Source organism: Homo sapiens, chromosome 14 (assembly GCF_000001405.40).
Source record: "Homo sapiens chromosome 14, GRCh38.p14 Primary Assembly".
NCBI lineage: Eukaryota > Metazoa > Chordata > Mammalia > Primates > Hominidae > Homo > Homo sapiens.
The window spans coordinates 32,191,053-32,215,971 of record NC_000014.9 but is presented as its reverse complement, the minus strand read 5'-3'; the positions used below and the strand labels follow the sequence as shown (position 1 = coordinate 32,215,971).

Below are 24,919 nucleotides of genomic sequence, written 5' to 3'. Positions count from 1 at the left end.
CGCTGCTATAACAAAATACCTAAGACTGAGTAATCTATAAAGAAGAGAAATGTATTCTGTCACCGTTCTGGAGGCTGGAAAGTCTAAGATCAAGGCATCAGCAGGTTCAGTTGTCTGGTATGGTCTGATCTCTGCTTCCAAGATGGCACCTTGAATGTTGTGTCCTCACATGGCACAACATTAAGCCCTCCTTTAAGCCTTTTTATAAAGGCACTAATCCCATTCACAAGGGATGGAGCCCTCCTGACCTAATCACCTCTTAAATGTCTCACCTCTTAACAGCATTACATTAGCCATTAAGTTTCAACATTTGAATTTTGGAAGTGGAAGGGACACATTCAAACCATAGCAGCTATGATTGAAAAATTAAAAAAAAAAAGGTTAAGAACTGTCTTTCTCCAGGTGGGGAACAGCAGTCAATCTCAATGATAAGTGCTCTGAAAAGAAACATATGTTGATTTACCAAGTATTTAAATCGTTTCCAACACGAGCTTCTCCATAGCTACCAGGGATATAAAAGGACTGGAATAAGAAGAACAAAACATCTGTTGTAACAGTGATCAGGTATCTCTCCTGAATTTCTGAATAATTGTTCCTAAAATTCAAAATGGGTAAAAGCTTTGTCTTATTATTACAGATTCAGTTTAACTAAATAAGAACGGCTCAAAACAGGTAATATTTTTTAAGTTGTTCAAAACAATCTATATATTGACCCAAAATGTTGGCCATCCAGCTTTAGGGAAATTTTATCAACAGACAATGTATTAAAAGGTACTCCATTCCCTTTAAAAGTTCAAGGTCCAGACCGGGCGGGGTGGCTCACGCCTGTAATCCTAGTACTTTGGGAGGCCGAGGCAGCGGATCACGAGGTCAGGAAATCGAGACCATCCTGGCTAACACGGTGAAACCCCGTCTCTACTAAAAATATAAAAAATTAGTAGGGCATGGTGGCGGGCGCCTGTAGTCCCAGCTACTCGGGAGGCTGAGGCAGGAGAATGGCTTGAACCCGGGAGGCGGAGCTTGCAGTGAGCCGAGATGGCGCCACTGCACTCCAGCCTGGGCTACAGAGCGAGACTCCACCTCAAAAAAAAAAAATAAAAATAAAAATGAAAATAAAAAAAATTCAAGGTCCAGCCGGGCTCAGTGGCTCACGCCTGTAATCCCAGCACTTTGGGAGGCCGAGGCGGGCCGATCACGAGGTCAGGAGATCGAGACCATCCTGGCTAACACGGTGAAACCCCGTCTCTACTAAAAATATAAAAAATTAGCCAGGCATGGTGGCGGGCGCCTGTAGTCCCAGCTACTAGGGAGGCTGAGGCAGGAGAATGGCGTGAACCCGGGAGGCGGAGCTTGCAGTGAGCCGAGATGGTGCCACTGAACTCCAGCCTGGGCGACAGAGCGAGGGAAAAAAAGTTCAAGGTCTCAGCCTGGCCAATATGGTGAAACCCTGTCTCTACTAAAAATACAAAAATTAGCTGAGTGTGGTGGCGGTTGCCTGTAATCCCAGTACTCAGGAGACTGAGGCAGAAGAATCGCTTGAACCCGGGAGGTGAAGGTTGCGGTGAGCCGAGATTGTGCCATTGCACTCCCGCCTGGGTAACGAGAGAGAGAGACTCGGTATCAAAAAAAAAAAAAAATAATAAAATAAAAAAAAAATAAAAAAAGCTCAAGGTCAAAGTTCATTGAGCAAAATAAATCTAATTTAGTCTAAGGAAACCATCAAAGGGCAGTTTAACTCTGTGACAAAATAGAAGAATGGAAGTTCCTCCTCTAATCAGCATCAGTCCATTTGATTTCCCTTCCCATAAGCAACTCTAGCCATTGCTTATGGGAAGGGATTTATAATAATGTAGTCAATGTAGCAAAATCTCCTTTACCAAAGTAAGTTCTGTGACCATTGAAATTTCTAATGAATATATTTTGAGAATATATCATCAAAGGCAAGAGTAAAGAAATTGTGTGTAAATAATGGACTGTAGGCAATATTTTGGAGTAATGAGGAGTGCAGTTGATAGAAAAGAAAATTCTAATGTGGAAGGCAGAGAATCACTACTGTTTCTTAAAGAGATGAGTGACATGGTGAAAATGGTGTTTGTACAAATGGCAGACAATTATGCACAAAAGGGATTACAGGAAGAGGAGAGAAGCTAGAAGACTTCTGTTTTGGGTGGTGGTTCTTTTTTTTTTTTTTTGAGACACAGTCTCACTCTGTCACCCAGGCTGGAGTGCAGTGGCACATTCTCAATTCACTGCAACCCCCACCTCCCGGGTTCAAGCAATTCTTATGCCTCAGCCTCCTGAGTAGGTGGGATTATACAGGTGTGCGTCATCAGGCCTGGCTAATTTTTTGTATTTTAGTAAAGATGGGATTTCACCATGTTGCCCAGGCTGGTCTCCAACTCCTGAGCTCAAGCAATCTGCCCACCTTGGCCTCCCAAAGTGCTAGAATCCACAGGCATGAGCCACCACGCCCAGCCTTAAAGCTAGAAGACTTTTGGATAGTTCAGGTATGAGGCAGTGTGGGTGGGGGCTTAGAGCTCCAAGAGAATGAGATGTAATGTGAATGAAGCCTGGAGAGGAGGAATCAACTGGACTTTGTGAATAACTCCATGAGAGAGGAGGAGGAGGCCCAAGAAGAAAGGAGGAAGGCAGAATAGAGGAGGAAGAAGATGACTACATTTTCAAAACTTTGGTCCAGGCAAGGTGACAGGGAAAAGAAACCTGTATTGACTTGTGGAAGGTTAGTTAGTTTTAGGCTCCTGGAATGTAAGATTAAAAAAAAAAAAAAAAAAAAAGGAAAGATTAAAAACCAGGCCAACAATTGGAGAACACAGTGATTTACAAAGGGTAGCTAGCCCACAGAGCCCTGCATCAGAATCCCCTGGGTGCCTGTTCAAATACAGATTCCAGGGCTCCTCTCCAGACCTACTAAATCACAGTTCCCAGTGCTGGGACCCAGGAATCTGGATCATATGAGTTCACAGAAGGGACATACTGAGCACACTGGCCTGTATCCCCTATTGAACCAGAGATGCACATATGCACACTCTGTATACCAAATCCCAAGTGGCTAAGCTTACCCAAGGTTATTGAAGTGGAAGCAGGATCCAAGCACTAAGGCTGGGGGTCTCAGTGGTTATGGGTTATGGGTTATGGATAGAGCAGCCAGTGAGGGATACAGAAAACAAGAAGTTTATAAACTTAGCATGAACCAGGATTATACATCACAAGAATGAGGACGTTTCTAGTGGAAGCATCATTGGATAGTTGAATGTTGGGTTTTGCCCCACCCCCCCCATTCTGAAGTACTAGGTGATTATACTGGAACCTTAACAGCTGACTAAGAATACAGTTTGAGCCTGCTGATACTCACTCTAGGCAATAACAAAGATCAATTGGCTAATAGTAGGTACAAGTAGTAAAACATTTAAGTCTTAATTTCCTCAAAGAGACAGCAGATCTTACCTCTCTCATTTTCATCATGTATTTAATAAACAGGACCCAAATGTACAAAACGTTTGTGTTAAAAAAATTAAGAAACATGTTAAACAGATAATACCTAATATTCTAAGCTTTGGGTGGCAGGGAAGGTGACTGGCCCTAAGTTTGCTTTCCCTTAAAGTTACACCGTTTCCTTTCCAATGTTGTTGTTTTTAACTGGTCATAATTTCCAAGATAACAGCTGACTACTGGGTTGTATTCCTCAGCTTAAGAATTGTAGGCAAGTGCTCTTCAGGATGTAGTGAAGGTCTCTGATGCAAATGCCCAAATGTTTTTGAATTAATGAATTATAAAAATCCGGCCGGGCATGGTGGCTCACACCTGTCATCCCAGCACTTTGGGAGGCCGAGGTGGGCAGATCACAAGGTCAAGAGATGAGACCATCCTGGCCAACATGGTAAAACCCCATCTCTACTAAAAATACAAAAATTAGCTGGGTGTGGTGGCATGTGCCTGTAGTCCCAGCTACTCGGAAGGGTGAGGCAGGAGAATTGCTTGAACCCAATAGGCGGAGGTTGCAGTGAGCCAAGATCGTGCCACTGCACTCCAACCTGGAGACAGAGCGAGACTCCATCTCAAAAAAAAAAAAAAAAACTAAAATAAAAAATAAATTTAAAAAATTCCAATCACCGCAAACCTTAAAACTGAAAAGTTTCTCACCGCAACAACAGCAATTTACACACCTGCTATGCTTTGCAATGTAAAGGCACAAGCGTTTCTCACAGATCTTTCTGTCAACCCTAAAAGGCAAGCAGGGTAGTTATTATCCCCATTTCATAAGAGAATGTGGGTTGTTCAAGGGCTGGGACTGGGGTTTGAATTCTGACCATCAGACCAAAATATCGTTCCATGACACCCAAAACACACAATTAATTAAAAAGAAATTTTTTTCACTCTGTAAAAATAATTGGACAGGAAGATTTGATTAATAAGTGTTTTACTTGCAATTAACACTATCAAATATGACAACAGGGGCAGCCTCAGTTTTTTTGGTAGATTGAAACTTAGACTTCTTGGTAAACAAAAACCTTCATGAGCTGTGTGAATGAACAGAGTTGATGGGGGGAGTGAAATCACAGCGTCAATAAAGAGATGTGAAATGTAAAGGCTTTATGCACCTTGGGTCCTAGCATGAGAAATTAACTCCTACCCACCTTTACAACCCAGGAATATACAGAGCCATTCCTAGAAGCAGTGAGGCTGGCCCATAGAGGCGATCATGTAGGAGGGCCTGAACAGCCACCAGGGGAAGAAGTGAGTGGAGGCTCATAATAGGAGTCCAGGGGTGTGTGTCACTCAGACCCACTGTTCTAGAATGATTCAGGTTAAACCTAGCTAGAGTAGAAGTGGCTAAGATTAAAAAGTTAATTACAGGCCAGGCGTGGTGACTCATGCCTGTAATCCCAGCACTTTGGGAGGCCGAGGCAGGCGGATCATGAGGTCAGGAGATCAATACCATCCTGGCTAACACGGTGAAACCCTGTCTCTACTAAAAATACAAAAAAATTAGCCAGGTGTGGTGGTGGGCGCCTTTAGTCCCAGCTACTCGGGAGGCTGAGGCAGGAGAATGGCATGAACCTGGGAGGCGGAGCTTGCAGTTAGCTGAGATCACACCACTGCACTTCAGCCTGGGTGACAGAGCAAGACTTCGTCTCAAAAAAAAAAAAAAAAAGTTAATTTCAAAGAATAATCTCATTAATAGCTTCCTAAGACCCTGAGAACCCAAGACAACATTGTTTTGTGATACTGATTGCGCTGAAGAGCAGCATGAGAAGACATCACGGTGTAGAAGTTATTTCTGAAATCGCCCCCATGTGAGCAAACCCTGTCTCACCATGAAGTAAGTGAGGTAGAGTCATGGAAAGATGTTGTTACAGTTGTGTGACTTTATTATACATTATTTCATTCAGAAAGTATTGAGGTCAGACTTTGTGGCAGGCATTGTTGTAGACAGTTGGAATACAGCAATAAATAGAACAGATGAAGTCTTGCTCTTTGGAAATGTTATTCTAGTTGGGGAAGACAGAAAGCAAGCAAAGAAATAAATACGTGTGTGATGGAAAGAGCTGCCACGAAAAAAGTAAAGCAGGATAAAGGGAATATGACTTGGCAAAATGCAAGTTGTGTTTCTGCTTTAAATCTGTTTTTATAAATCATTGAAAATCCATTTGAATAATCTTAGTAGTTGTGAATGTTGAGGATCATTTCATAATGATAACAGAATCAATTCATCAAGAAGACACAGCAATCCTAAATACGTATGTAACAGGAGAACTTCAAAATACATGAAGAAAAAAATGTCAGAACTGAAAGGTCAGATTGAGAACTCTGGAATTACAGCTGGAAATTTAAACAGTCCTCTTTGAATAACTGATGAAAGATATACAGAAAATAAGGATATGCATGATTTGAACATTATCAACTAAGTTGGCTAAATAACCCATGTGACAAAGAAAAATATTTAAAAATATAAACACAGTACAATAAAATTTGTAGGATTTAGCTAAAGTAGTGCCTAGAAAGAAATGTATGGCTTTAAATGTTTGTATTAGGAAAGAAAAAAGGTCTAAAATTAACAATCTAAACTTCTACCATGAGAAACTAGAGAAAGAAGAGGCAATTAAACCAAGAGTAAACAAAAGGGAGGAAATAATAAAAGGCAGAAATCAACAGAAAATGAACAATTCTATTTTGGGTTTCCAAAAAACCCAAAAACTGGTTTTTCAAAAAATGTAATAAAACTGATAAATTTCTGGCCAGATGGATCAAGAAAATAAGAGAGAAAATACAAAATACCAACATCAGCAATGAAAGAGACTACACTACATATACTATACTACAAAGATTAAAAGAAAATAAGGTAATATGAAAAATTTCATGCTGCTACTTTAGGACAAAACTACTGTTTTCCTTGGAAAAAAACAGAAGCACATACAGAGTTATATTTCTTTGAAATAGCTGTTTCTAAGTGTAGTCAACCATGTAACTATCACTTTTAACCAAAGTAACTTCTATTTTGCAGAGAAAAGTGGGGGGCTGGATAATTGTGAACTGTCACAACCCAGCATTTTATCAGATTAGCAGAGGTCGTCAATATGCATAACACAACTTTCTACAGTGGCTAATATCCCTAATACAACTTCTCAAAGTGGCAAAAATAAACACGTTCCTTAATATGACCCAAAGAGATAGCCTGTCTATAGCACATAAAAATAAAAAGCAAAAGTAAAGCTATAATTATGCTTAATAACTAATATTTTAATTGTTACTTAGAAATTATCTAGATATGCAGTGATTTTTCCATTAACTAGCCCAATTTAAAACCGATCCAAGACTTTAATTTACATAGATCTCGGAAACTTATCTTCAATCTGACATGCTACAGACCAATGACTAACGAAAAGTTCACCAAAACAAGTATGCAACTTGGTCAAACGCAAATTTACATTTTTCATAAGCAAGCATTAAGTAGAAGTAATGCAAGCTTATTTGATCAGTAAACCTGCATACACTTAGAAAAACATACCCAGGCACAATAAAAATCTACACTTATATATAACACTGATAAGCCAAAGAAGACACAGCTGTTTTTACTAAACCAAATTAATACAACAGTCTAGTTTACCAAAGATTTGCCTAAATTATGTGAATTTGAATTCTTAAAATGTTCCTAAGCTGGTTGCTTTTGGAATACTTTTTAAATCTAGCACATTGAAATTTTTAGAAATTCCATTTCTTATTTTCTGGGCATTATTGGCATACTATGCTTATGTAAGCATTTATTCATCTCTTAAACCAGCAGTCTCCAACTTTTTTTGGCACCGGGGACTGGTTTCCTGGAAGACAAATTTTCCCTGGGGTTGGCGGGATAGACGGTTTGGGGATGAAACTGTTCCACCTCAGATCATCAGGCATTAGATTCCCATAAGGAAGGTGCAACCTAGATCCCTCACAATCACAGTTCACAATAGGGTTTGTACACCTATGAGAATCTAATGCTGCTGCTGATCTACCAGGAGGCAATGCTCGCATGCCCTCTGCTCACCTCCTGCTGTGCGGCCGGGTTCCGAACAGGTCACAGACAGGTACCAGTCCATTGCCTGGGGGCTGGGGACCTTTGTCTTAAATCAATCAGAACCGGACTCCTTTAATGTAGGAGATTTCATAATCTAAGTTGTTAACACCCTCTGGATTTAGGAAAGCATTACACATTCATATAATGAGAGATAAAGACCTTTCTGAATTACAAACATGCAGACATAGAGTTTATAGCTTTAATTCTAAAATTTCACTCACGGGTCAAGAATAAACACGGAAGCACAAAAAAAATTACTAATTCAGATATCAAAGAGCTGTTCCCCTTCTTGATGGGCACAATATTCTTAATTGATTTGAGCCCAAAATGGACAAAAGGTGTATAAACAAGACTAATAAACTAGTTTCTCTATAGTCTGTCACCCAACAGAGACTAGATCTCTATAAATATTAATCCATTCACAGAGCTTACCAAATGATTAGACCATGACACCAAATTCCCAATCATTGTTTCCACCCAGTACAGCAGACACACTGGCTGGCTGGAAGCAAAACAGAGACAAATCACAAACTTAATAGAGAAAAATATTAAAATTAGAAAAACAGAGTCACCAAAGTTCTATTGTCATTTGGCAGCCAAGAAAAAAATGTGTTTGGGCTTTAAGCAGCCCACAAGCTAGTCTGGTGAAACGTATATCTGGTTTTGTTAAGATGAATCCAATAGACAACTCATTGGAAGACCTCCAAACTTTTAAAAAGACAATTTTTTTAAAAAAGTGGATAAAATCATGCCTCTCATACACATAAAAAATGAACACACGTTAAAGATTTTATCACGAATCAATGCGGAAACGCAGGAGACGTTACAACTAGTTCAAAAGAGAAATAAAAAAATTATGTGGAATAAAGGAAGGTTGAATGTGCAAATGGAAGCAAAACTGGGTTCTTCCATAGTGGTGAAGAGAAGTCAATTGAACTTCCAGTCAGGAGAGAATTTGCACAGCTATAAACAGAAATTATTAACTGCCATCAGTTATCTACAATCTACAGAGTTGTAAAATAGCTTCCATAGAATGTGAATCAGATTTTGTATTTTCCAGACAATCCAGTTTTCTACCTGGGCACAAATGTTTTTTCCATACAAATAACATCTATTTGTAAATAACATTTTTCTGAAATAACATTTCAGAAAAGTGGATGAGTGTATATAGAGTTAAATTTGTAGTAATTACAAGAAATTAAGAAGTTCCTCTCTGACATGGTTTTTTCCCTACCATAAAACAGAACATGAGGTTTACACATCTTCTACACATTAGGGAACTGGTTGCCATGAAAGGGCTCCAAGCACCAAAATATCTCACATCAGCTTTACCAGAGTGACTTTCTCATTTCATTAAAAGTAGCCATTAAAACACAGATAGGTCATATGGGTGATATGCCAGTGATTCTCTGAATACAGTGGCATAAGTCAATCCTCTGGAAACTGTAAGAAGTTGGGTCTGGGAATCTATCACTAAGAAAGCTTGAGAAATACTGTTCTAGTATATTTTAGTTTGTGGAGTTAGTTAGCAGAGCCCTGAAGAAATAAAACCCAGACTGATGAGTCTTTAAATATCCTTACAATTGTAAGTGGGACATTTAGGAGGAGTCTTGGGGAGCCAGTGGGTGCATTATGAGGGAAGGAAGTATGGCCATAAAAGGAAGCCAGTAGCAAAGAAAGGGGCCTGGTGGGGAACTCGAAACAAGCTTCACCTGATGTAGTGTGTCTGATGGAAAAGAAAGGAGAAGAGAGGAAAGAAAGAAGGGTGCTGACAAGCCCAAAGAAGATCTTATAAAGGCTGAGAGCTCACAGGAGGCGTGGAGAGAAAGAGAGAGGCAGAGGGAGAATGCAGAAAGATATCTCACAGACACCCCGGCCGTACTCAGGACAATTAAATCAGAATCTCTTTCCAGGCACAGTGGTGTGCACCTGTAAACCCAGCTACTTGAGAGGCTGAGGCAGAAGGATCATTTGAACCCAGGAGTTCCAGATCAGCCTAAGCAACATAGTGAAGACCCTGTCTAAAAACAACAATAACAAAGTCAGAATCTCCAGGGGAGGACTCAGTCACTCGTATTTTTAAAAGCTCTTGTGATTGCGACCTGCAGCCCAGGTTGATAACCTTTGTTTCCCACCTGGAGTTCACCAATTTCACACCAGGTGACGCCGGTCATTGATGCTGTGGTTCTAAATGACTCATCTGTTCCTTGCTAAAGAGGATGTGAGGATTTAGGATGAGTTTCTTCTTCTTTTTAATTAGAGCAAAATTCCTGAAGAGGAAATGACCTGTGGTTTTTGACTTTCAATTGTGTCACATCACCAAATGTGCCCTTTCTGTGAGTAAAAAGAACAAGGTCAGCTTTCCACTTAGTGTGTGCTGTCTTGTTCTGCAGTCAAATGAGCAGAACTCAGAAATATAATTGTAAAATGGCAGGCTTGAGGTCTTTATCTTTTTCTTTGCAGTTTACTGCAAATAGTATGACCTAGTAATACTACAAATGGTGCAGTGAAAACAGCAATGAATTCGGCATCAGAAGATGGTAGGACCAGTGGCCAATCTTGCCCAGGGAGGTCACTACACTTATATCAGCCTCAGTTTCCTCTTCCAAAAAATAAGATACATCTCTTTGGATCTAAAATGTCATTGATTGCGAAATGCACCATAGTTTTACATGTCACAAAGGAAAGGCAGTTGTTTTATTTCAGTTAATGTAAATCGTTAAAATTATTATGTTTATTGATGAGTTCAAATGTTCCAGAATATAAAAATAAAACATTTGTCTCACTGAAAAAATCCTTTAAATAAATTTCTTAAAGCCAATTTGTTAATAATTCCTATTAAGTAAGACTCATCGTGAGGGTGGTGGGGGGAGTGCGGTGGCTCACGCCTGTAATCCCAGCACTTTGGGAAGCTGAGGCAGGTGGATCACCTGAGGTCAGGAGTTTGAGACCAGCCTGGCCAACACGGCGAAACCCCGTCTCTACTAAAAATACATAGCCGGGGCGTGGTGGCGCACGCCTGTAGTCCCAGCTAATTGGGAAGCCGAGGCAGGAGAATCACTTGAACCTGGGAGGCGGAGGTTGAAGTGAGCCGAGATCGCACCACTGCACTCCAGCCTGGTTGCCAGAGTGAGACTCCGTCTCAAAAAAAAAAAGACTCATCGTTCTCAAATGAGTCAAATCATACAAAATATTATTTAATTAAATAGCCACCTACCTCATAACTTTCCTATAAGGATGTGATAAAGAACACTATTTCCTCCTAAAAAAAAACGTGATTGGAAATTCATATATGCTTAACCACGGGTACTAACACTAGAGTTGTTTTTGTCAAAATGCAAATACGGCATCTTAAATATTTTTGAGTTTAGCAGAAGCCAATAATGTTTTAATGTTGCAAGTGTGCAGTGTGAAGACATGCTAAACTCACAAATGTTTAAGATCTCATATTTGCATTTGGCAAAAACAACTTTAATCTAGCCTAATAAAAGTAATTTGTTAGAACGAGTAACCAAACAACTATGGAAAGCACCTGCTCATGGGATCAAATGATCCAGAGACTCAAATGACATCAACACTCTTTCCTAATTTCTTTCCCTGATCCTATTATTCTCTCAATTCTCTTCCATGGGATACAGAACTTGGCCACCACAGGCCAGGGGTTAAATCCTTATAACTCACAAGTAAACTTATAACTCACAAACTCACAATGTTTGTTTATAAACATTGGTTAATGGGTACAAAGATACAATTAAAGAAGAGGGAAAAAATTCTGATGCTCTATTGCACGGTAGGGTGAAAATGGTTAACAGTAAAATTTTGTATACCACAAAATAGAAGAGAGGCTACTGAATGTTCTCACCACAGAGAAAGGATAAATGCATGAGGTGGTGGATACACTACCTTGATTGGATCGTTATACAACATAGATATGTATCGAAACATCAAATTGCACCCCATAAATATGTACAATTACAACGTGTCCTCAAAACAAAACAAAAAGCAAGCAAACCACCAGACCAGACCTTCTACTTGGCTTGTTCATGGGTGTATCCTAAAATCATTAAAGGAAAGATTTCTGGGAGACTTTATAGTGTGAGGGGTCAGACGGCTGACCGCACCTGCACCCACAGGTCAGGGGTAGGCATCACTCACACGGGGACAGCCAGCGGATACACTACTCTTGCTGAGGTGCAGTAAGCACACACCCTACCACTGTGTTTGAAGCCGTGCGGGCGTCAAAACAAAACACAACACAACCAGAATCTAATGAGTCCATTACCCCTAACCATAAATTTTCAAGAAACATGGAGGCTAGAGAAACAAGTTAAACGACACCATCAGTAAGTAATGGGCCAAATCCCAAGATCTGCGACAATCCACAGGGCAAATATCCCTCAGTATACGAATGACGTGAAGAAAAACGAGGCGAGGGCAATTAGAGGACAATAGACACCCAGGGTCGTAGCAACCGAATACAACCTGGGACCTTGTTTGGATCTCTATGACAATTCGACTGTAATAAGGAATTTCTGAAATAAGGAAATTTGAAAGTAGACTGAATATTAGGTGCCATGAAGGAATTACCTTAACTTTTCTAGGTGTGATAATGGTCGGTTAATTACTTTTTTAAAAAAAATTACTCATCAGAGGAAGTTAATGGTGAAACGACCTGTTCTAAAGGTGCGCGCCGACCCCGGGCCGGCCCTCTCGGTGCCGCAGCAGCCTCGTTATCGGGGCGTCTCCAGCTCGCCTGGGCGCTGGACCCCGCCGCGCGCTCAGAGGCGGCCGCAGCATTGGCAGCTCCCGGCATGCTCCGCGGGCTGAGCTCCGCGGCACGAGAACTCAAAGCCCCCGGCCTGGGTCCTACGCGGGGCCCTTTACCCAGGGTGCCCCGGGCGCTCATTTGCATGTCCCACCCAACAGGTAAACCTGACAGGTCATCGCGGCCAGGTACGACCTGGCGGTCAGAGCACCAAACATACGAGCCTTGTGATGAGTTCCGTTGCATGAAATTCTCCCAAAGGCTCCAAGATGGACAGGAAAGGGCGCGGTTCGGTCACCGTAAGTAGAATAGGTGAAAGACTCCCGTGCCTTATAAGGCCTGTGGGTGACTTCTTCTCAACGTGCTCGCTTCGGCAGCACATATACTAAAATTGGAACGATACAGAGAAGATTAGCATGGCCCCTGCGCAAGGATGACACGCAAATTCGTGAAGCGTTCCATATTTTGCGCAGTCTGTCAAGATCATTTCAGTATCTGCTAATTAGTACTAAGGAAACAGTGTGAATCTAAGCGAAAACGTGTGGCACCCAATGACGAAACAGTGGTTTTCATTACAAAAAATTTGTGAAATCTATGAAGTGGGAACGAAGCAGAGTCACCCGAGGAATGTTGTGTGCGAATAGATCGTTAATACGCATTTTGGAAATGGAAAAAGGTCACCTTGTGCCTTCTTCATTGAACTTTTCATTCTGAAATAGACTTACGGTCTTGTCTCACCAAACAACACAAACTCCAGAGCCCCAGCTTGTTTGGCTTTTGTTCAGTAGAAGACCAACTGGCATATGAATTGTTCAATAAATCCTTACTAAATCTTTCCTAACCTAATAAATCTCTACTAAAGGAAGGAAACATTAGCGCTCATTTCTTGCGCCTACTTTGTGCCATTCTCCATCATCTTAGACCTGAGTGCTTACACCCTTTCTCTTAGACTGCGAGCTGCACAAAGGAAAGGAATGTTACTAAGGGCTGGTATTATTGGAAATCAATGTTGGCCTTTGCCTATAGATTCAAGAGCTCCAGGACCCATGTGAATACTGGCCACAAGTAGCAAGCCCATCTGGATCTGTTTTCACGAGTCTTCTGTTTTCATGTATCCTCTAAGAAGTACTTAGAAAGGGCCGATTTACATAAATCGGACAGATTCTGTGATGGGAAATTTGATTAGGAGGAATGTTCATTGCCCAGCCTGAAAGCATATTTTAATCAATGAAAACAAGTATTTGGACGCAGATACGAGGATCACCTAGGTAACTTAATAGTAACGTAACTAGGCGCCTCGAAGATGGAGGCTGTCGAGGAAGTGTGCCCACTGTGCGACAGGACTGGTGGGAGGCCCGGACAGCATCGTAGGTGTCTACTGGGCCAAGCTCGCGAGCAGGAAAATGCAGGCCCCGAGAGATCTTGAACAACCTCTAGGAACACCACCGTATCTTGCCCAACGACCTTCGTTGAACCGCGCAAAATATGGAACGCTTCACGAATTTGCGTGTCATCCTTGCGCAGGGGCCATGCTAATCTTCTCTGTATCGTTCCAATTTTAGTATATGTGCTGCCGAAGCGAGCACGCAAATAAGTCCGTCCCCAGGTCTTATAAGGCACGGGAGTTTCTCATTTGTTTTCCTTACGGTAACCTAATCGAGCGCTTTCCTGTCCATCTTGGAGCCTTTAGGAGAATTTCATGTAACGGAACTCATCACAAGGCTCGTAAGATTGGTGCTCTGACCGCCAGGCCGTATCTGGCCGCGACCGATCTGTCAGGTTTACCTGTTGGGTGGGACATGCAAATGAGCGCCCGGGGCACCCTGGGTAAGGGACCCCGCGTGGGACCCAGGCCCCGGGGCTTTGATTTCTCGTGCCGCGGACTTCAGTCCGCAGAGCATGCCGGGAGTCTGGCAGTCCGTGCGGCAGCAGTGGAGCGCAGAGGACAGGGCCGGCCTGGAGCGCTTGGCGTCTCCCCGAAGTCTCTCTGAGAGCTGGGGAGGCGGTTGGCCCGCTAGGTCACTAGGTCGGGCAGGGGTCTTCCCCCAAACATGGAAGTTTTCACCGATATTTCGCCGGTGACATTGGGGCCTTGTGCCAACAGACTTTGCTGAAGTGAACCCAAAGTTCAACCCTCCGGGAGAGTCCTTGCAACGATTCGGCCACTCAGTTCTGGAGCCGTCGGCACTACATTCTAAGTTGCGGTGGACTCCACTGGCATCTGCGTGACTATCTCCGGCCGGTGTGCATAGGCGCCCGTCGGGTCGGGGGCTGAGGACCTTGGACAGGGCGGCCACACCCCTCTCGTACAGCAGCGCCTCTGTCCATTCTGCGCAGGCGCCTCTGGGGTCAGGGACGGAGGAACCCGGGCGAGTAGCCACGCCCCTTCACAGGTGTCTTCCCTCGACCGCTACTTTCGCCCCTGGCAGCCAAACACAGGAACGCTGAAAAACAGGCTGAGAGGTGGATTTGAGGAATTACATCGTTCACTTAGAGTTGAACTGGAGAAGCATTCTTGTACGTCCTTATACCTCCCTGCACTCTCATCCTAACCCTGTTAGGATACAAAAGTACGGGACAGACCTACTCGTAAGAAATACTGTTAGTGTTAAATATTCTGATTTTTAACTACAGCAAAAATCGTACTGTTCAAGTCATATCCCTGAGCGTTGTGAGATGAGGGCCAAAGATCAAAGCCTCTGGTATTTATTTGGTTACAGTATTTCATATATTGAAGAAAGTAAAGGGCAAATGTTTGCCTGTGTTGCGTTAAAACGGCACGTTGAATGAGGAATATGGCACATTTACCAATAACTGGAGTTTTGCTTTTTCTCCTTCCTGTGGTCGTTTTACCCCTTCCTGTAACAATATTTTGAAGTAAGAACCTACTAAAAATCAGTAATTGAGAAAAATTTTAATTGGTATCCAATTTTCTGATGTACCAAAAGAAAATAGTGTGAAATCATATACGAGTTTCTGGTATTGCTGAGCCAAAAACAGAAAGAGGAACAGAAAGTTAAGCCCACAGGAATTATTGCTAACCCTATGTTTTTCTGTGTTTGAGGTTATAATTCTTTTCTTTCACAGCTTTTGAAAAGTAATAGAAACACTGTTCTTTCCCCCTCAAAAAAATTAGGCAAAAACGACATTCCTGTTGAGTTAAATTTTCCAATTACAAATAAAATGTGCTTTGATATATTTCTTCTAACGCCCTGTCTTTCCAATAAGCTATTTCTGCTTTGTGACTTCAAAGCTAGGAAGCAGTAAATTGATGTTCAATTTTATGATTGTAGAAGTATATCAAAATTCTTTCATGTTCTCTCTTAAAAACCTTACAACTAATCAGTTTATTAAAGGATACATGGTTAGAAGAATCTATAGTTAGAAGGACGATCAGAGTTACAGGGTCATGAACTTGATGTCCCTACAAGCTATATGCGCCTTCAGAGTTAGGCTGCATTCCCAGATGACGACTTATAAACTCTTTCCATTCTGAAAAGTGGGAAAAGACTTAGCACATACAAGAAAAAGAAATGTTTGAAGGTTGGCAGGAGATAAATCCATTAGGGGAGAAAAATCTTTATAAATGGTCGTAGGCCTGGTGAGGTCCCAGAGTTTTGTGAGGCCAAGGTGGGAAGACCCCTTGAGACCAAGTGTTCAAAACCACCTGGGAAACTTAGTGAGACCCCAGCCTCCCTATCTCTCTCTATATATAGCTATATCTATATCTATCTATATAGATAGATAGATAGATAGAAATAAATACAAATATATATTATATTTTATACAGATATATTTATATATTTATATATAATCTAGATATATATATCTAGATTATATATTTATATCTAGATACATATTATATATATTTATAGCTAGATATATATCTAGATATTTATAGCTAGATATATATCTAGATATATAAATATATATTTTATATATATCTAGATATAAATATAGATATATCTATAAAATATATATCTAGACATATCTATATTTATATCTAGATATATATATCTTCAGGTATATACACCCAGTATATACCTCTCTCTATATATATATAAATATACACCCAGTATATCTATATATTTGTATAGAGGTATATACTGGGTGTATATACCTGAAGATTACCTAAAGTTAGTTTAATTATTAACACGATTTTTAAGCTATTTTTAAACTTTCAGTCTTGAATTTATAGTTAGACCATTGGAGATAAAGAAGAAACAAGGCTTCTCATTGTGTTTTATTTATATCTGTGTGGGACTCTGTATACTGGGCATGCATATATATATATATACACACACTCGGCCCAGTGGCATGCTCCTATAGTCCTAGCTATTTGTGAGGCTGAGGATAGCTTTAGCCCAGGAATTCAACGCTGCAGTGAACTATGATCAAACTGCTACACTCCAGCCTGGGTGACAGAGTGAGAACCCTGCCACTAAAAAAAAAAAAATAAATAAAGTAAGTTGTTTTAAATGCTCAGATGTGTACAGAAATAATAAGAAAACTTAATTTTAGAGTTAGGGCATTACTGAACAATGTAATGTTAAAAGAGCTAAAACAGAATTTCTCACAGGTGATTTATGTATGTCCTCTTTTAAAGCACAGAATTCTCCCAAGATCTCCACTGTTACTTAAATTCCTTCTATTGTTCTTTAAATAAATATAAACACAAAACAGCATAAACTCCTTTCTCCTATAGCTGTTACACAGCTCTAAAACAAAAGCAGATTTACAAATTCGACATGAAAGTACAAATCAATAAAATTCAAATTAACAGCATTAATTTATTAATGTATTGCAGAAGATAATGCAGTTTGAGTTTGCCAACATATTAGCCATATCTCTTTTTTTTGGAGACAGTCTTGCTGTGTTGCCCAGGCTCACCGCAACCTCCGCCTCCCAGCCTCCAGCAATTCTCATGCCTCACCCTCCCAGGTAGCCAGGATTACAGGCATGCACCTCCACACCCAGCTGATTTTTGTATTTTTAGTATAGACGGGGTTTCACCATGTTGGCCACACTGGTCTCAAACCCCTGGCCTCAAGTGATCCACCTGCCTTGGCTTCCCAAAGTGCTGGGATTACAGGTGTGAGCCACCATGCCCGGCCTAAAGCTGTATCATTTAATGCAGCATGGGGTTAATATAACAGTATAATTTAAATCACCACTAAATATATATCCAATCAGATTTTGCTGAAATTTGGAATAGGAAAGATTACCTGAAGTTAGTTTTAATTATTAAGACTATTTTAAAGCTATTTTTAAAGTTTCAGTCTTGAATTTGTAGTTAGACCATTGAAGATAAAGAAGACACAAGGCTTCTCACTGTCTTTTTATTTATATCTGTGTGGGACTCTATTTGGCAAATATTGCAACAATTGTTGGCAAAAGAGAAAAAGATTAATGGAGATAGTCTGTGTCCTCAAAAATTCCCTCTCACTCTCAAAACAGGGCAGACAGGTTTCTGTAGTGAAACAATTCTGACACAGGCATCACACAGCTTGTGGTTTTTCAAACAGGCTCAGCACCACATCTGCCATATGAATGAGGCTTGAGAGGGCAGAATTTCACAAGGTGATTAGTAGATACCAAAAGTCACTCATTCACACCATTTCAAAGTTAATCATAAGTTGAATTTTATTATTTTTCCATCCTGTTTTCATTTTAGAATATTCAAATTACTGTTACACTTTTATTGGTACAACGTGTCTGAAAGCATTTGGCTTTCGCCTGGTACAAATATATCACTTACATTATTCAATCTGTCCCTGTTCATTTCTTATTAGCCCCTACAAAGTAGTACATTAGTCAGTCGTGTTATTTTCATTATGTGAAATGAAAGTATTGATTTATTAAAACCATAAGAAACTTGGTTTTCTTGGTAAAGTCTTGGTCATTGGAAATGTTATTCTTGTATGTATTATCACTGAGAAAAAGAAATTTTGACCTCATTAACAAGTAATTCAACATAAGCATGGTGGCAGACACTAGCCATTGCTGTCATTTAGATAGCAGGACATGCCCGCCTAATAGCAGCCAGTTACAAACACTGTCACACTGACAATCTGTTAGCTAAGTAAGATGGCATGGCAAACAATGAAGATTCATGTTGAAATCTCATGACAATATTTAGTTATAAGGTGAATATTCAGATGTTTTAGACCCTGCCTATTTTAATATTTTAAGATGATCATCCCAATAAAAAACTATTTCTAAAAATCCTCTAGAGAATCCTCTAACCCTTAAGAATCTGTCTGAAGACTCCAAGAGGTTCTAGATCCTAGTCTGAGGAACACTGTATAGGCTGATACGGAAAACTTCAGTTCCTGGAATTTGTGTATCATTATATTTATTCTTTCCTAGAGGTAATAACTCAAGAGTTAGAAAATGTGGTGGAAGAGTGTAATATTTATTAATCAACAAATACTTGACAGGTATTTTACATACAAGATTGCATTTAGTATTTGCAATAATTCCGACATAGCTATTACCCATTCTACAGCTGAGGAAACTGATGCTCAAAAGAATTATGTACCTTGCAGCTGGGCCTGGTGGCTCATTCCTGTAATCCCAGCACTTTGGGAGGACGAGGCGGGTGGATCACAAGGTCAGGAGATGGAGACCATCCTGGCTAACACGGTGAAACCCCATCTCTACTAAAAATACAAAAAAAATTAGCTGGGTGTGGTGGCGGGCACTTGTAGTCCCAGCTACTCGGGAGGCTGAGGCAGGAGAATGGCCAGAACCCGGGAGGCAGAGCTTGCAGTGAGCCAAGATTGTGCCACTGCACTCAAGCCTGGGTGACAGAGCGAGACTCCATGTCAAAAAAAAAGAATTATGTACCTTGCTTAAATTCATACTGTTAATAAAAGCAGGTTAAGGGAAAGACAACGTTCAAACTAAGGATCCTCAGAATCCTAATCTCAACCTTTTTCTATTATTCTGTGATTTCATTTAACATTAAAGATAACCAAATGCTGTATAGCTTTAACAAGGAAAATTTTTATGAACTGATTTGAAATTCAATCAATACATAGAACATAATAAAAAGGAAAATCTTCAGTCAAGTCTATGTGTTCTAGATTATGAAGGAAAATAATTCAATATCAGACCACCTTCCAAAATGTTTCCGGGCTACCTTCTTTAAACTACTGATGCTTACACATGAAATGAAAGGTAATATAATTGTCATAGAAATAAAAACAAAGGAGAAAGCCTGCAACTATAAACAACAATAATGAAATTATCCAAGACACATCATCTGTGCCCATGTTAGTCTCCATTAATAGAAATGATTCAGAATTGTCTTTGTGTTCAGTTTTCGAATAAAGTGACTAAATAATAATTTAATTATTTAAATGCATGTTTCATCAATCAAAATCACCTTTATTTTAGGCAATAAACTTTTGTTTTAATAAAATAGTTTTCATTACAGGATCCCAGGAGAGTTACATAGATAGAGTCCCAGCATTTCTGAGAGCTTCTACAAAGGTAGATAAAACTGTTATCTTTTTTGTAAGTGCACAAAAATTAATTTGGGACGGGAATTCTAAAAGAAAACATAGGAAAATAATTTTGCAACCTTGGGCTTAGCAAAGATTTCTAAGACAAGACACAGAAAGCAGAAACCATTAAAAAGTTAATAAATTGGAACTTCACCAAAATTTCAAACTCTGCTCATTAAAAGATACCACTAAAAAATAAAAAAAAAGGCAAGCCAGAGACTTGCAGAAAATAATCATAATCAAATATCAGAAAGAGGAACTGTATCAAGAATAAATCAGGAACTCTCATAACTCAACAATAAAAAGAAGAACCCGAAGAAAATATGGGCAAAAGTCTTAAACAGACACTTCATCAAAAAATATACAAATGGTTAGTAAGAAAATGAAAAGATAATGTCATTAATTATCAGGAAACTGCTAGTTAGTGCAATGAATACAACACCTACTAGAATGGCTAAAATTTAAAAGACTGATAATACCAAATATTGGCAATTATATGGAATAACTAGAACTCTCATACATTGTTGGTTGGAGTGTAAAATAGTACTTCTTTTGAAGAACTATTTGGCACGTTTTTATAAAGATAAACGTACACGACTGGGTGCAGTGGATCACGCCTGTAATCCCAGAACTTTGGAAGGACGAGGCGGGCGGACCACAAGGTCAGGAGCTCGAGACCATCCTGGCTAACACAGTGAAACCCCGTCTCTACTAAAAATACAAAAAAATTAGCCGGGTGTGGTGGCGGCCGCCTGTAGTCACAGCTACTCAGGAGGCTGAGGCAGGAGAATGGTGTGAACCCAGGAGGTGGAGCTTGCAGTGAGCCAAGATCACACCACTGCACTCCAGCCTGGGCAACAGAGCGAGACTCTGTCTCAAAAACAAAACAAAACAAAACAAAACAAAAACAAAGAAAAGATAAACCACTTACTTACACTGTGACCCAGCAATCCTACTCCTATATATTTGTCCAGGAGAAATTAAGACATATATCCACAAAGATTCATATATGAACATTTACAATTGCTTTATTTGTAACAGTCTCAATCTGGAAACAATCAAAATGTCCATCAACAGGAGAATGAATAAATTGTGATATATTGATAGAAGGGAATATTACTCAGCAATAAGAAGAAACACAGTAGTGGTATGCACCACATGGATGAATTTCACAGACATATTTCACAAAAGAAGCCAAAAATGAAAGAATATATATTGTGTGCTTCTATTAATATAAAGTTTAAGAACAAGCAAAGCTACTCTAGTAGTGATGGAAAACAGAACAGCAATTGCTTAAAGGCAAGGGGGAACGTGAATTGACTAGAAAATGGTACAGAGGAACTTTCTGAAATGATTTAAAGCTCTATATCTTGATCAGCATGTAAGTTACATGTGGGTGTTGGGTATATTCATTTGCAAAACACATCAAGTATATACTTGAGATCTGTGCATCTCACCAGTATGAATTATATCACAATAAAAAAAGCATGCTTAAATAAAAAGAAGAGATCATCAAAAACAAAAAACAAATCTGTTGCTGAAGTCTAATGCCAAAGGATTTACTGTTTCTAACCAGTGTACCATGGTTTTTGGAACTTTGTACTCTACCTGTACCCCTTCACTAAACATGTATTGATCCCATCATTATAAGGTATTAAGCTAAGCTGGTAGACATTGTGTCCGTGGAGGCGTCAGTCAAGTTGAGTCAAGAAACATATAAATATACTTCTAAAGTAGTTCACTGAATGCTTTTAACTTATATTAATTCCTTTATTTAATAAGTATTTACTGAGCCCTTATTTATATGCCAGGCAATGTTCTAGGCACCAGAGGTTCAGCAGTGACCATGACACTGCACCCCTTGCCTCATGGGAGTTTCATTTGACTATGGAAGAGACAGATAATTTAAAAGTATACAAATAGGCCCAGTGCGGTGGCTCACGCCTATAATCACAACACTTTGGGAGGCTGAGGAGGGCAGATCACCTGAGGTCAGGAGTTTGAGACCAGCCTGGCCAACATGGTGAAACCCCATCTCTACTAAAAATACAAAAATTAGGTGGGCGTGGTGGCGCGCACCTGTAATCCCAGCTACTCGGGAGGCTGAGGCACAAGAATAGCTTGAACCCGGGAGGCAGAGGCTACAGCAAGCCAAGATTGCACCACTGCACTCCAGCCTGGGCAATAGAGTCAGACTCCATCTCAAAAAAAAAAAAAAAAAGGATACAAATAAATGAGGTAATTCCAGATGGTGAAAAATACATTGAAGAAAATGAAATATTTAGAAAATGAAACATTTGATCACATTTTACTCATTTCTGAGGAAGGGTGTGTGAATCACATATTTGCCTGTCATATTAACCTTAGCGCCATTGACTTCAAAGATCAACTCTCACATACTTTTATTCTCACTGTGCAGTGAAAACAGTTTCAAAATGAGAACATGAGGCCATATTTTACCAGTGCACATTTATGTACATCTTATTTTCTTACATGCTCCTTTAAAAAGGACAGATTGACAATTCACCAGATCATTACACACAAATTAAGAGCATGTAGACGGTGTGTTTAACCAAAGCACATCACACTGTTAAGATCCACTATGGTCCCTCAATTTCACTGGGAACTCTCACTTTTTTCCTCAGGGCTCAAGTATTTAGAGAGTTATACTTGTAAGTGACTAGAGATTTTTAAAACCTACTGGCTTGAGATAACTCATGAAAATCAGACTACATACGAACCCCTCATCCATTATATCATGCATAGTATAGAGAGTAAAGGTTTCATACTGTAGAGGTCTTATTAGCACCTAGTACATTGGAATTGTTTGAGAGACATACAGCTGTCCCACACTATTTCACCAGCCTATGCATCTGTTACCACTCAACATTATTGTTGCTTTTGATCTTTTAATGTTTATATTGGTTCTCATCAAAATAGAAACAGAGATACCAGACATTAGAATTTTAGCTATGTTTAACATCATTGAAAAGCTAAAATTGTAGTTATCTTGACTAAAATCTCAAATCTTGTCATAAAGCCAGCTTTCTCAAAGCCAAGCAAATCTGTGCAAGGCAAAACATGGGTGAGATTATTTCCTATTATTTTAATTTCTACTATGGTTTATACCATTTTGAGAAATGGTGTTATCTTTCATTAAACTCTATTAGGACTTCATGGAAGATAACAGGTGACAAGCGTCATTAGTCATTGCCTGCTTGGAAACAGAGACGCTTCCAGGAGGCAACACAGTCAGCCTAGTGGCTTACTGGCAGAACTGAAGTTACACCAGAGTGCTGAGTTGTCCTTTCTGGGCTAATCTTCTGGCATCCCTTCTATACCACACAACTCATATAACTTTTGCTGATTGTTAGTTGATTCTATACATGATGAAAATCTATATTTATGTTCATTTGCCTTGCAAAATAATGATGACAGTGCTGGTAGCTCTCGAGAAACCTAGAACAGGTATTCAAGTGGAGGCAAGCAATTGAACAGAGAAGGACACTCAGGCCGCACAATCGCCTGAACAAAAAGAAAATTAATAATCAAAATGACCACTTATATAAGAATGAAAATGAAAATGGACCCCTACAATTTATACAGGAAGGCTGAGTTGGGTTTTTCCATTCTATTTTATGAAAACATATCCAGCGTGCTCGTAATCACATGAAAAACAATCACTTGTGTCTTTTTAAAGCAGAGTTTGAAGCTGATGGCAGATGCAGGAGAATGCCTGTTGATCAGATCTTGCTTCATGTTTTCCAGCCGAAATGTGTCATATTCTAGACTGAGAAAATAACTCCAGGTCGCCCTCCTTGGATGGCACACATGATGATGTCTGAAGTCATCATAGAATGTTGTATCCTCCTTGGTCCTTTCTCATCATTCTGAGATACATGGTTAGTAAAGGACCCCCTTTTGGTAGATCACATGGCCCTTAAGCCTTTGGAGTTGTTAGAAACAGTGCTTTTGGGCAGGACGTATCTGGAGTTGAATCTCAGTGTGCCATTTACTAATGTGGTCCTGGGTAAGTTATCTGTGCTTCCCCAGTTCCTTGAATTGGACGTAAGACCTACCTCCTCACATTATTGTAAGATTGAAATAAGATGACATTTGAAACATACCTGGCTCATAAAAAGTACTCAAATAACTATTGGCTCATTTCCAATCTGCTGCTTTCTCGTAATTCTTATCGTACATTGCCTCATAGAAGTAGTTATCCGTGTTATGTTTTATCTTTACCCCTCACTAGACTATAACCTCCCTAATGGTTGGGATGACAGCTCACTCATTTTTGTGTCCCCTGGACCTCCGCCACATAGTGCCTTAGACAGAGCGGGCACTTGGAAACTATATATTGAATGTTATTTTTTCTAACTCAGCATATACTCAGCAATTTAGTGAAATAAAACCATAGTCAAAATGTCCAATGATGTCTCTTTTCTCCATTAGGTCAGCTGCTTTTATTTTTAGAAGGGTCTTTCTGAGCATTCTCTTAGACTGATGGCCATTTACTGCAGGCAAGCAATCTTCCCAGGTTAGATTGGACTATCTATTTTCACAATTCAGATGAGGCTTTGCTTTTATCCTGAGTTTGTGACATGTATGTTTAGATGAGCCCAAAGAGTAAAGCAGCCAAACTATTCCACCTTTTGTCAACTGAACATTCATTACCGACACTGGCAGATTTCTAGTATGGCTGACTATATACATGACTCTACATATGACTATATGTATGCAAATAAAACATATACATAGAGTTTGTATAGTCTTTTATAAATAAAATATATTTTAGTGAAACCTAAATGTGTCCAAAATTCTTTGATCCAAGAAAAAGAAAGTTTAAGTTCTACAGAGGTAAAATCAATGGCAATTCTATAAATACTTCGAAGAGCCAAAATGAAATGAAAAAATCAGTCACATTGAGCTATGCTTTGTGCATTTTACCTTGAAAAAAATTTAAATAAATTACATTAGACTTGAATATTTATGAATTAAGTACAACTTTTCTTTCCTTTACCTTTCCCTTTGGCTCTTTGACCTTAGAAAACCTCCATTTTCTTA

At 39.7% G+C, this 24,919-nt stretch overlaps 2 non-coding genes across 2 annotated transcripts, besides 6 other annotated features; one reads left to right on the top strand and one right to left on the bottom strand.

Moving 5' to 3' along the window:
- Nucleotides 9,513–9,672: an enhancer, noted in NCBI's record as "active region_8240". NCBI's record gives its function as "activates an Ori minimal core promoter by ATAC-STARR-seq in GM12878 lymphoblastoid cells {active_cell/tissue: GM12878}" and the evidence as "EXISTENCE:reporter gene assay evidence [ECO:0000049][PMID:35858748]".
- Nucleotides 11,988–12,532: an enhancer, noted in NCBI's record as "H3K27ac hESC enhancer chr14:32672646-32673190 (GRCh37/hg19 assembly coordinates)". NCBI's record gives its function as "activates a minimal SCP1, AML or CMV promoter by ChIP-STARR-seq in primed H9 embryonic stem cells {active_cell/tissue: H9 hESC(primed)}" and the evidence as "EXISTENCE:reporter gene assay evidence [ECO:0000049][PMID:30033119]".
- Nucleotides 12,533–13,078: an enhancer, noted in NCBI's record as "H3K27ac hESC enhancer chr14:32672100-32672645 (GRCh37/hg19 assembly coordinates)". NCBI's record gives its function as "activates a minimal SCP1, AML or CMV promoter by ChIP-STARR-seq in primed H9 embryonic stem cells {active_cell/tissue: H9 hESC(primed)}" and the evidence as "EXISTENCE:reporter gene assay evidence [ECO:0000049][PMID:30033119]".
- RNU6-8 (RNA, U6 small nuclear 8) lies at nucleotides 12,703–12,809 on the top strand. Its single transcript, NR_104088.1, has one exon. It is a non-coding gene; the product is annotated as an RNA, U6 small nuclear 8 (small nuclear RNA).
- Nucleotides 12,719–12,898: a silencer, noted in NCBI's record as "silent region_5659". NCBI's record gives its function as "represses an Ori minimal core promoter by ATAC-STARR-seq in GM12878 lymphoblastoid cells {active_cell/tissue: GM12878}" and the evidence as "EXISTENCE:reporter gene assay evidence [ECO:0000049][PMID:35858748]".
- RNU6-7 (RNA, U6 small nuclear 7) lies at nucleotides 13,821–13,927 on the bottom strand. The gene has a single exon (NR_104084.1). It is a non-coding gene; the product is annotated as an RNA, U6 small nuclear 7 (small nuclear RNA).
- Nucleotides 14,176–14,235: an enhancer, noted in NCBI's record as "active region_8239". NCBI's record gives its function as "activates an Ori minimal core promoter by ATAC-STARR-seq in GM12878 lymphoblastoid cells {active_cell/tissue: GM12878}" and the evidence as "EXISTENCE:reporter gene assay evidence [ECO:0000049][PMID:35858748]".
- Nucleotides 14,316–14,375: an enhancer, noted in NCBI's record as "active region_8238". NCBI's record gives its function as "activates an Ori minimal core promoter by ATAC-STARR-seq in GM12878 lymphoblastoid cells {active_cell/tissue: GM12878}" and the evidence as "EXISTENCE:reporter gene assay evidence [ECO:0000049][PMID:35858748]".